This window comes from Homo sapiens, chromosome 11 (assembly GCF_000001405.40).
Source record: "Homo sapiens chromosome 11, GRCh38.p14 Primary Assembly".
NCBI classification, from domain to species: domain Eukaryota; kingdom Metazoa; phylum Chordata; class Mammalia; order Primates; family Hominidae; genus Homo; species Homo sapiens.
Window position 1 is genome coordinate 62,185,367 of NC_000011.10, and position 12,181 is coordinate 62,197,547.

General features: G+C 47.5%; 1 protein-coding gene across 1 annotated transcript, besides 1 other annotated feature; it reads left to right on the forward strand.

Annotated features, from left to right (window-relative positions):
* The first annotated feature begins 4,849 nt into the window (after nt 1-4,849).
* SCGB1D1 (secretoglobin family 1D member 1) lies at nt 4,850-8,173 on the forward strand. The gene is made up of 3 exons (NM_006552.2): nt 4,850-4,973; nt 6,690-6,877; nt 8,033-8,173. Exons 1-3 carry the CDS (start codon nt 4,919-4,921, stop codon nt 8,060-8,062), a joined length of 273 nt encoding a protein of 90 aa, NP_006543.1. The 5' UTR covers nt 4,850-4,918; the 3' UTR covers nt 8,063-8,173.
* Nucleotides 6,904-7,404: an enhancer, noted in NCBI's record as "H3K4me1 hESC enhancer chr11:61959742-61960242 (GRCh37/hg19 assembly coordinates)". NCBI's record gives its function as "activates a minimal SCP1, AML or CMV promoter by ChIP-STARR-seq in primed H9 embryonic stem cells {active_cell/tissue: H9 hESC(primed)}" and the evidence as "EXISTENCE:reporter gene assay evidence [ECO:0000049][PMID:30033119]".
* Nucleotides 8,174-12,181: the final 4,008 nt, after the last annotated feature.

Genomic DNA, 12,181 nt, shown 5'->3' on the forward strand with positions numbered 1-12,181 from the left:
GGGCCCAGAGCTCTTCGGCTCCACCTAATTTATTGGTTTACAAGTTCTTTGTTCTTAGGGCAGATGGGAAGGGTAGGAAGGGATGAGGAAAAGGATTAATCAACGAAGGAGAATTCGTGCGTCGTTCAATAAGATGTATAGCAGTGGCGGTTTCTGTGAATTTCCTTGAGCAAAGGCGTGTGTCTAAACTACTTAAGATCTTTAACTTATCCGGAATGAAATGGGTGGGAGTGGGTTTCAGGGGGAGCCAAGATGTTTGATTATACTCCACTGCTTCAAGGGAGTGTTATCTCCCCAAGCAACCTCTGGAATGCCGCTGAGCTGTTATGCTTTAGGGGCAAAAAGACATGAAGGCAATAAGGAGACTTTTCTCCTCAAAGGCCACCCATGGCTTCCCATGGGTGTCTCACACAGGGGAGACCAACTCATCTGGCATCCCAGAAACTCTCTTTCCCACAGAGCTGATTAAGAACCATTGCTGGGGAACTAGTGTGGTCATTTGGAGGTAAGACGACACTCTGGCTTTTTGAGTTGCCAGAGTTTTTGTGCTGATTCTTTCTCATCTGAGTGGACTGATGTTCTTTTAATCTTTGAAGTTGCTGTCCCTTGGATGGGCCTCAGCCTCCAAAGTAACTGGGACTACAGGCATGCACCACCGCGCCCAGCTAATTTTTGTATTTTTATTAGAGACGAAGTTTCACCATGTTAGCCAGGATGGTCTTGATCTCTTGACCTCATGATCCGCCTGCCTCGGCCTCCGAAAATGCTGGGATTACAGGTGTGAGCCACTGCACCCGGCCCGGTTTTTTTCTTTTGCATTCTTTGATGCCCTTGAGGGTTTGACTGTGGTATCAGTTGGGTTCAGTTGACTGGGCTTTGTTTCTGGAAGATTTCAGAAGGCCAAGGTTCAGTTCAGTTCAGCACTCCTGGGCTGCTTGCTCTAACCCTGGAGGCCTGGTACCAGGCCCATTGCTTTGTTCTCCGGCCCCTTGAGGTTAAGCACCCGCTGTGCTGGTGAGGTGGAGGTGTTCCCAGTCTGCTGGCAACAACACCCTGCCAAAGCACTTCATCAGAGCAGTGGCAGCAGGATCTGTGCTCATGTGAATGCATGCTGGCAGCTGTGGTGGCAAATCAATATTGACAGTTTTTCTAGTGGATTGTCTTAAATTTCCCTGATAGTTGAATAACTATCTATAAATAATGACCAATTTATGTTCATGGATTTATCTTTTATATGAATTTTGCCCTTTGTTTGAAGAGAATATTGTTAACATCATGTTTCTCTCCATACAATTTTTTTAATTTAAATAGACAAATAATAATTGTATATATATATTTTTCTTTAATTTTTTTTTTGAGACAGAGTCTCATTCTGTCATCCAGGCTGGAGTGCAGTGGTATGATCTTGGCTCACTGCAACCTCCGCCTCCCAGGTTCAAGCCATTCTCTTGCCTCAGCCTCCCAAGCAGCTGGGATTACAGACACCCAGCACCAAACCTAGTTAATTTTTGTATTTTTAGTAGAGACAAGGTTTTGCTATGTTGGTCAGGCTGGTCTCAAACTCCTGACCTCAGGTAATCTGCCCACCTCAGTCTCCCAAAGTGCTGTGATTATAGGCACGAGCCACTGAGCCTGACCTAAACTTGTATATTTTTATGGCATACAATATAATGTTTTGATGTATGTTTACAATACACACATCAAATACAATCAAATTAATTAACAAATCCATCACTTCACATACTTTTTTTTGCATTAAAAACGTTTATTTTATTTTATTTCATGTTTTTAGAGACAAATTCTTGCTCTGTTGCCCAGGCTGGAGTGCAGTGGCATAATCAGGGCTCACTGTAGCCTGAAACTCCTGGGCTCATGCAATCCTCCCACCTCAACCTCTTTAGTGGCTGTGAATACAGGCACCCACCACCATGCCTGGCTAATTTTTAAAATTGTTTATAGAGACAAGGTCTTGTATGTTGCCCAGGCTGGTCTCGAACTCCTGGCCTCAAATGATCCACCTGCCTTGGCCTCCCAAAGCGCTGGGATTACAGGTGTGAGCCACCATGCCCGGCCAAAATGAGAAGATCTTAAGCCAACCAGGGAAGGAGTAGAGCAGTCATCAAAAGTACCACCTATGAAAACTAGAAAAAGCCCCGAGCAGATGTTAAGAGCTACAGGAATGATAAAAATATGTGGGAAGCAATCCTCTTTCAGATATACACATCCTTCCTAATGGAATATACAGATGAAGGCCAAGCCCACATCAGGAAAGCTCTGTTCAACAGCTATGGAAAATTCCTCACCCATCTGTCATCTGTAAGAACCTAAATTCGTGTCCCTGGGTCTGCAGTCTCAGAGACCATGAGCTGGGTTTCCTCCATTTATTTCAGATAGTGGGGGTGTATCCAGGTTTCCTTAGACAGTTGTGTGTCACTTAGTGACTGGGACACATTCTGAGAAATGCATAGGCAATTGTCATTGTGTGAACATCATAAAATGCAGTTATACAAACCTAGATGGCATAGCCTACTGCACACCTCAGCTATTAATAGGTAAGCCTGTTGCTCCTGGACCACAAACCTGTACAGCATATTACTGTTCTGAACACTGTAGGCAGTTGTAATACAATGACAAGTATTTGTGTATCTAAACATATCAAAACAGAAAAGGTGCAGTAAAAACACAGTATTATAATTTTAGGGGACCCCTGTTGTATGTGGGGTCTGATATTAACTAATATGTCCTTATGTGGCCCATGAATTGTAGTTCTGAAAATCAGTGATTTTTTTTTTTGAGGGGTTGGCTGTGCTTTAAACTAGGAACTGGTAATGATCCATGAAATGTATGACAGGTGGGACAAGGTAATAGTAGTCAACATTTATTGAGCGTTTACTACATGTCAGACCTTGTTAATTTTTTTTTCTTTTTTGAGATGGAGTTTTGCTCTTGTTGCCCAGGCTGGAGTGCAGTGGTGCCATCTCAGCTCACCACAACTCTGCCTCCCTTGTTCAAGAGATTCTCCTGCCTCAGTCTCCTGAGTAGCTGGGACTATAGGCACATGCCACCACACCCAGCTAATTTTTTGTATTTTTAGTAGAGACGGGGTTTCACCATGTTGGCCAGACTGGTCTCAACCTCCTGACCTCAGGTGATCCACCCGCCTCGGCCTCCCAAAGTGCTGGGATTATAAGTGTGAGCCACTGCGCCTGGCCAGACCTGGTAAATTTTACACACACACACACACACACACACTCATTTGAACATCTATCAACCCAATGATGTAGGCACCATTTTTAACCTACTTTTACAAACGAGAAAACTGTGTTTACATAAACTAATTTTCAGAGGGTTCAATAGCCCATAGACATGGATCTGAACCCTCCTAGCCATGGGCTTTGCCACTGGACCTTCCACTCCTTAGGGTTGGAGGCAGAGGTGGCATCAGGGGCTTCCCCACCATTTTGGGTGATGGAAGTGAGAGGCATTGTCGCCCTCAGCTGGGACTCAGCCAGACCTGCCAAGGTGTCTCTGATGACACAGACCATAAGGTCCGCTTCCTTCATAAAGGTCTTTCTGGGTGGTTCTCAGTACTGCTGCCCATCAGACCCACCAGAGCAGTTTAAACAGAAGAGGACCTCGCCCTAGAACTACTGAATCAAAATCCCCAGAAAGGGAAGCAGCCTGCGGGGAGTCAGTATAGTTTAAGAGCCCCAAGTGATTTGATTGCAGAGCAGAGAATGGAAAGCTCTGGCCTGGGCTGTGACTGTTCTCAAATGTGTGTTCACTTAAGAGCCAAATTTCTGGTGATTTCCTACTCACCAAATGATGGCACTGCAGTGGAAGGGCAGAAGGGTGTCTATTGCTTTTGCTGGGGATGGCCTTCGCTTTCCATCAACAATGAGATGACCCAGGCAGCAGAGCTGGGTTAGAAGTGGAAAACTTGAGCCCAGAGGTTAGAGGGAAGTGACCACCCACCCTGTTCATCCATCTCTTCCTTTCCATTATCGTCCCTGCCTAGAAGCGAAGACCAGTATTTCTGATGCCTGTTTGCCTCCAGACACCCCAGCAGCTCCTTGGGTAAAAAAAGTTGGGCAATTTAATCATCCCATCAGCCCTATGAGGAGATATGGGTGGCTAGAGGTCACTGGAGGCTTGCTTTTAGTAGACAGAAAATTTGAACCTGTGCTATGTTGACAACTCCACCCATAAATAAAGACACAGATCTTGGAGTGAGACAGAGTAGAGGACAGGGGGAGTGGTTGTTTTCCCCAAGGAAATCCTCCAAAGGTGGGGTGTATGCAGCTATGTTTTAGGTACCTATGTGGTGAAGATGGTGGGGATGGAAGGGGCTGAGTGGGAGGATAGGTCTGGTTCAGACTTGATCTATGTGCAGCTGAAACACGTGTGGCTGATTGTCAGACATGCAGTGGAGGTCAAAGTGGGGTCTCTTCTGTGCCTGCTCTCCTATAACCAAACCACAGCCCCTAGCTTCCTGCACCCCCGGTTTCTGTCCTCCTGAAATGAGAACTCACATTTGCCCTTGCACTGACATAAAGAACAGAGAGATAATCCTCAAAAGCCCAAAAGCAAACTGAGGTTCCAGGGAACATTGCCAGAGGCACCTGGACACTCACCTGGAGCACAGAGCAGAGTTTCTGCAGGGCTGCCCTCCCGTGCTCCGCCCCACTCAGGATGCAGGGAGGTGTGGGGATGTGACACTGATGGATGGCAGCAGCCCTGGCTAGGAAGGGAGGGCTGGAAGCCAGGCCTCATCACCTGCCAGATGCCCATGTGGGCAGGACCAGCCAGGCTCCCTAGGTACAAATAGCCCTGGGCTCCACGGCTCCACAGGCTCCCGGGGCTGAGTCTAAATCACTCATCATTGGTTAAAGCCGAGCTCACAGCAGAATAAGCCACCATGAGGCTGTCGGTGTGTCTCCTGCTGCTCACGCTGGCCCTTTGCTGCTACCGGGGTGAGTACATCAGTCATGAGTCCAGCACCAGCCCTTGGGACACACCCTTCTCTGAGCACGAGGTCACCTATTAAGGTTAAGGTTGGGGTCTGGAACAAACCAAAATTCCAAACCTTATCCTGTGCTTGTTGAAGGAACTGCTCATAAAGCTCGGGCCTCATTTCATCAAATCCCCAGTACCTAGGAAGTTTTGCAGAAAATCAATGCAGGCGAACGTTAGGAATTCTGCCTGAGCTTCACTCTTGGATGGGATCTGTGTCAGATGATGTAATGTGAGGTCTGGGGTGACTCTGGGCTCAGCCACTTCTCAGCCCTTTCACCGTGGGCAAGATGCTCACCCTCCCCGCGCCTCCTCCTATCTCTGGTGCTTAGAGCTTCTTCCGGGAGTGGCAATGGGAATGGAGTGGGATTATTGTGCCAAGGGTCTAGCTGTGGATGTGAAGCCAATCACTGTACTGTCAGACATTCTCGTCCCCAGACCTTTAGGTGCCAATTGAGCTCACAGCTTCTTACATTGTAAATTCAGACTCATAAAATGTTACATCTCGAAGGATCCTTGGAGAACTCTCAGTCCAAGAAGAGATGGTGCTTTCTGATTCTCTCAATAAGAAGCCTGCAAATGAATTCTTAGAATAAGCAGCACTCAATATATCTTCTAGGGGTCCTACCGTAATGGTGGTAGAAATACTACAATGGTTAGCCTCAGAACTTCTATTTTTCTAAAATTAATTCTGGCTGATTTTTCCCCAGTTCATTTGGGTACTTTCCTTTCCCCTGTCAGGACCGATCCAGACTCTGATTTTTCTCTTTCCTCTTCTTTTCTGAACCTCTCCCTGTTTCCCTGTGACACCCCGATCCTACCCTCTCCAAATTCTCCCCACAGTTTGAAGTCGGGTAGTCAGGGGTCATGTTGAGCATGGTGGGGCGCTTTCTGGATGCATGGTGTTTGCAAAAGACTTAGGTGAATGGAGATTCCAGACCAAGCAAAATGATTACTCCAGGTCTTTCCAAAATTCCCAGTGGGAGCAGGAATGAGCCTCAGTTCCCTCCTCTCATCCTCTCCAAATATTCTAGATGCTGCTGCAGAATATGGGCCAAGTACAATTTCCTGTATAAGCTTCTAATGTGTGTTAAAACTGATTCACATTATTTTATTTTGTTTTAATTTGTTTACCTTTTAGCTCTGTCTGTATTGAATCACATAAGCCTAAATTCTACAACTTGTTCTCAAAACATCACCTTCAACATTTCAATAATTTTAACTTCTTCTGTTCCAGATTTACTCATTTCTCTAATTTCTGATAGGATTCTGACTCTACCATTCCACTTCAAAATTTGATTACTCAAAGCCTCCTCTTCACCAATGTCCAAGACTAATAAAGTGTCACTTAACTGGCATAGAAAAGTGATTATTTTCAAATCTAGAAAAGAGAACGTTGGCCATCCATCCAGAGAAGCTTTGGAAAGTAATGAGTGTGCTTTAAAAAAAAAACAAAGACTGAATGAGTGATCAGGAAGTTGGTTCTCCAGTTCTAGCTCTACCCTTTGCTGTGTGACCTCAAGGAAGTCACAACCTCCTGGGTCTGACATTGTCATTGGCATAGTTATTGAATAGAAGCCTAAAACCCTGGGGTTCCTGTCTGGTCTGACATCAGGGAGGCATGGGAGAAACACTGATTTCCTTACACAAATTATATTTTTATTCTTTTGCTCCAGCAAATGCAGTGGTCTGCCAAGCTCTTGGTTCTGAAATCACAGGCTTCTTATTAGCTGGAAAACCTGTGTTCAAGTTCCAACTTGCCAAATTTAAGGCACCTCTGGAAGCTGTTGCAGCCAAGATGGAAGTGAAGAAATGCGTGGATACGATGGCCTATGAGAAAAGAGTGCTAATTACAAAAACATTGGTAATTTCTGTCTCTTTCATGTGTCCAGGCTTCTGGTCAGCGGCACAGTGTGAAGTGAGGTCAGCTTGCTTGCTGCTCTGTGAGGGACACAGGTGGTGGGGCACCTGCCTTACTGGTCACCGCTTGAGAAGGTCACCTGGGACCACAGGGTGGGTGCTACCATTTCACCTGCAGAATTCAACTCAGCTGCACACAGCCTCCTGCATGTTCCTCCTTCTCAGGTCACCTACCTGGATGCCGTGTCCCCAGAGTGTGCTGAGGACATGGGGAGTGAGCCTGGGTCCAGGCAGGGGTGGTGAAGGGCCAAGCACAACTGTCTCTCCACCTGGGGACTTTCCTGAGGCCAAGTGGACCTCACACAGTCACTGTGGAATGTACTGGGGAGTGTGGGAGCCTTGAACAGGGAGAAGAAGGCAGGGAGGGACCTAGAGCAGGGGCTCCTGCAGATGCTGCGCTGGAGGGCTGGACTTCTCTGCAGCTTCTGCAGAACCAGGAAGGAGCCCCTCCCAGCTCCTCAGACTCCACGCTCCCCTCCTCACCCACGATGCTCTCCTGACCACGGCCAGTGGGCCAAGACCCTCGCTACTCTACCTCCTGCAGTGCCATGGAAGCGGGATGTTCTCACTCTGTCTTTCTCAAGAAATCAGAGGTTTTCCAGGGGCCTCTCAGCCTGGCTGCCTCTGGGTTGCTGTCCTGAGGTTTAGCTGCAAATGCTCATGGAAGCTGCAGGCTCAGGATTGAGGTGCTCAGGCCCTGAGGCAGAATTCCCACATGGGGAGGCTGGAGTCTCCTGGAAGCCAAGCTTCCCAGAGGCCCTCCCAGCCCTGACCAACCTCTCAGCACTGGGTCTTTCATTGCGGGGAACAGGAGACTCCAAGTCCTGGGACAGCCCAGACAATAACCTCTTGCTGCTCTGCTCTGTCCCCCCTCTATGAGGACCCTGGGCCTTATGCTTGTGTCCCCCCAGGGCTATTGGCCTGGCAAGGAAAGGCTGGTCTAGGTCTAGGCCCTGGTTTCCCACACACACTGGGTTCCTGCCTCTACCCTTCAATTGTCTTTGGGAGCAGAATTCCATCGGCCACTTGGATGTTAACCTGTTGTCTCCAGGAGCTGCATGACCGACCTCACCTTCCTTTCTTTCCTTTTCTATTTCAGGGAAAAATAGCAGAGAAATGTGATCGCTGAGATGTAAAAAGTTTTTAATGCTAGTTTCCACCATCTTTCAATGATACCCTGATCTTCACTGCAGAATGTAAAGGTTTCAACGTCTTGCTCTAATAAATCACTTGCCCTGAACTTCTCCACTGGTCGTGTTATCCTGCAGTCTTGGGCCTTGAGTTGAGAGTGGTTTCCATAGGGGAGTGGCCTTTGGCTGACAATCAACTCCAGAGAACCAGCATCCCGTTATCAATGGGGCCTGAGTCCAGGCATCCCAGAAGGAAATATTTGGTAGGAATCATCCTGCATTCCTTACAGATTTTCCATCCTGCAGCCGTAAATGAAAACCATGGTAATGAGGACACAGGAATTACAATGTTCCTGCTGGTCTTGTACTGAGGGAACCCCAAGCCTGCCTGATTGTCCAGGCCCAGGGTTCCCACCTAGCAGGGACCCTAGTGGATGTCCCCTCAGACCCACAGTCAGCCTGCTTGGTGCCACCTCTGCACTGTGGTTTATCTCCCCTCTCATGTCCAGTATACTTTCTTTTCCATTTACCATAATTTGAGGACATCTCCAGGTTTCAACCTGGATTTCACATTTGTTCACTCCCCACACTCAGAGGACTCCTCAGCGTCTGCATCACTCACCAGCACCTGAGGTGAATGCTTCCTTCCCTCCCTCAAGCCACCCCAAGAGCTCCAGAGACCAGCACCCCCTGCCAATTGGACAGCTCCAAGCGCACATTCCACACTCATTTCAGGAGCAGGATGTAAAACTGAACACAGGGTCCGCCCTCAACCTGCTCTCCCTTCCATGAGCCCATCCAGGCTAAGGCACCCACCCAGCAAGTCCCCTGACCAGGACACAGGGAGACGCCACAGGTTCCTGGCTTGGTGTTCTGTGTCTGCTGCAAAAAACCTCCACAAGCTTGGTGACTTAAAACAACTGATTCGGCTGGGTGGGGTGGCTCACACCTGTAATCCCAGCACTTTGGGAGTGCAAGGCAGGCAGATCACAAGGTCAAGAGATCGAGGCCATCCTGGCCAACATGGTGAAACCCCGTCTCTACTAAAAATACAAAAATTAGCTGGGCATAGAGGCGCAAAACTGTGGTCCCAGCTACTCAGGAGGCTGAGGCAGGAGAATTACTTGCACCTGGGAGGCGGAGGTTGCAGTGAGCCGAGATCGTGCCACGGCACTCCAGCCTGGCGACAGAGTGAGACTCCGTCTCAAGAAAACAAAACAAAACAAAAACTGTGGGGAAAAGCAAGAGAGATCAGATTGTTACTGTGTCTGTGTAGAAAGAAGTAGACATAGGAGACTCCATTTTGTTCTGTACTAAGAAAAATTCTTCTGCCTTGAGATTCTGTTAATCTATAACCTTACCCCCAACCCCGTGCTCTCTGAAACATGTGCTGTGTCAACTCAAGAGTTAAATGGATTAAGGGCAGTGCAAGATGTGCTTTGTTAAACAGATGCTTGAAGGCAGCATGCTCCTTAAGAGTCATCACCACTCCCTAATCTCAAGTACCCAGGGACACAAAAACTGCGGAAGGCCGCAGGGACCTCTGCCTAGGAAAGCCAGGTATTGTCCAAGGTTTCTCCCCATGTGATAGTCTGAAATACGGCCTCGTGGGAAGGGAAAGACCTGACCATCCCCCAGCCCGACACCCGTAAAGGGTCTGTGCTGAGGAGGATTAGTATAAGAGGAAGGCATGCCTCTTACAGTTGAGACAAGAGGAAGGCATCTGTTTCCTGCCCGTCCCTGGGCAATGGAATGTCTCGGTATAAAACCTGATTGTACGTTCTATCTACTGAGATAGGGCAAAACTGCCTTAGGGCTGGAGGTGGGACATGCGGGCAGCAATACTGCTTTGTAAAGCATTGAGATGTTTATGTGTATGCATATCTAAAAGCACAGCACTTAATCCTTTACCTTGTCTATGATGCAAAGACCTTTGTTCACGTGTTTGTCTGCTGAACCTCTCCCCACTATTGTCTTGTGACCCTGACACATCCCCCTCTCAGAGAAACACCCACGAATGATCAATAAATACTAAGGGAACTCAGAGGCTGGCGGGATCCTCCATATGCTGAACGCTGGTTCCCCGGGTCCCCTTATTTCTTTCTCTATACTTTGTCTCTTTGTCTTTTTCTTTCCTAAGTGTCTCGTTCCACCTTACGAGAAACACCCACAGGTGTGGAGGGGCAACCCACCCCTTCAAAAAACAAAACACCAACTGATTCTCTTGCATGTCTGGGGGTCAGAAGCCCAACATTAGTATCACGCTCAGGAGGTTGGAGGCAGGAGGGCTCCACTTGCGCTGGGGGCTCTCAGGGAGAGTTCACTAAGGGCTGCTTCTGGCTTCTGGGCTGCTGACCGTCCTGGTCCTGTGGCCACATTACTCCAACCTCTGCCTCCATGATACATTCTCATCTCCTTTTTCTTCCAGGTTAACGCTCCCCGCTGCGACTTATAATTACAAAATATAGGGTTTGAGTTTAGGCACCACCAGAATATTCAAAACAATCTTCCCATCTTATGACCCTTACCTTCATCACATCTGCAAAGTGCTGTTTTTGGATCATGTAACGGAACATTCACAGATTCCAGGGATTAGGAAGTAGATATCTTTGGGGGAATGGGGGCAAGAATCAGCCAACCACAGCTCCCCTCCCTCCTGCGCCCTAACAGTGCTCTACATTCTATTCCCTCCATGGCCACAGCATCACCTCTAAGAGTCGCTCCATTCCCATCAGACGTCACATCACAGCCCAGTCCACATCCTTCCCAGCTCAGACTAAGTCCCTAAATTGTCTTGCAGCCTCCGAGAACGCTTCCTGTAATACATCCTCCTCATTCACGCCAAAGTGAGCCCCCTAAAACTGAAATGTGACACTATCATCTGTTCAACAACCCTGCATGACCAGAAGGCACTTGTTCTCAAGGGTTTCAAGTAAGGGAACACAATACTGAAAACACACTTTCATAAATAGTGGTTATTTTTATACAGTGGAGAAAATAGTAGATGACAATTATTATTATTATTATTATTATTATTTGAGACAGAGTTTCGCTCTTGTCGCCCAGGCTGGAGTGCAATGGCACGATCTCAGCTCACTGTAACCTCTGGTTCCCAGGTTCAAGCAATTCTCCTGCTTCAGCCTCCCAAGTAGTTGGGATTACAGCCATGCACCACCACGCCCAGCTAATTTTTTGGGTTTTTTTAGTAGAGACGGGGTTTCTCCATGTTGGTCAGGCTGGTCTCAAACTCCCGACCTTAGGTGATCCGCCCATCTCGGCCTCCCAAAGTGCTGGGATTACAGGCATGAGCCACTGTGCCTGGTCGATAACAGTTATTATTAGGTAAGCATTGATCTTAAGGGAAATTTGTATTTTTAATCACATCAGGAAATATGTACACTTAGAAGTAGAACCTAATGTGTGAAACTCATGACCAGTTCAGCCTACTACACACTATGTGTGCTGGAAACAAGGATTCATGGAGTTCTTCCAGCACTCAGAGACACCTAGAAGGAACCACTGCCGGGGGAGCAAGTCCACACCCTTATGTTGCACACAAGGACTTCCAAGGCCCTTTTCCTGCCAGCCCCTGTCCCTTCCTCTCCTTTCTCCCAGGTGCTCCATGCTCAGCCATTGCTGTTTATATTTCATTTCTTAGGCCTCACATGAGTCACACCCTTGCACCAGGGTATATGGGTTTCCCTTTCCCTCTATAGCTTTTTGTTCCTATGACATCTGACAACCCCATCTTTAGAATCCACTTCTCCTCTGTAAAGCTTTCTTGGATACTCACATATTACATCAAATCTTTACACACACGTGCATTCACATGCATAGATATCTGTTTTTTTTAAATTATACATTAAGTTCTGGGATACATGGCATAACGTGCAGGTTTGTTACATAGGTATACATGTGCCATGGTGGTTTGTTGCACCCATCAACCCGTCATCTACATTAGGTATTTCTCCTAATGTTATCCCTGCAGTAGCCCCCCAACTCCTGACAGGCCCTGGTGTGTGATGTTCCCCTCTCTGTGGCCATGTGTTCTCATTGTTCAACTCCCAATTATGAGTGAGAACATGCGGTGTTCGGCTTTCTGTTCTTGTGTTGGTTTG

Excerpts from the sequence above, each read along its gene's own strand:
- SCGB1D1 (NM_006552.2), top strand. The coding sequence starts at position 4,919 with ATGAGGCTGTCGGTGTGTCTCCTGCTGCTCACGCTGGCCCTTTGCTGC. Across the intron at positions 4,974-6,689 it reads GGCCCTTTGCTGCTACCGGG|CAAATGCAGTGGTCTGCCAA; the intron begins GTGAGTACATCA and ends CTTTTGCTCCAG. Across the intron at positions 6,878-8,032 it reads TGCTAATTACAAAAACATTG|GGAAAAATAGCAGAGAAATG; the intron begins GTAATTTCTGTC and ends TTTCTATTTCAG.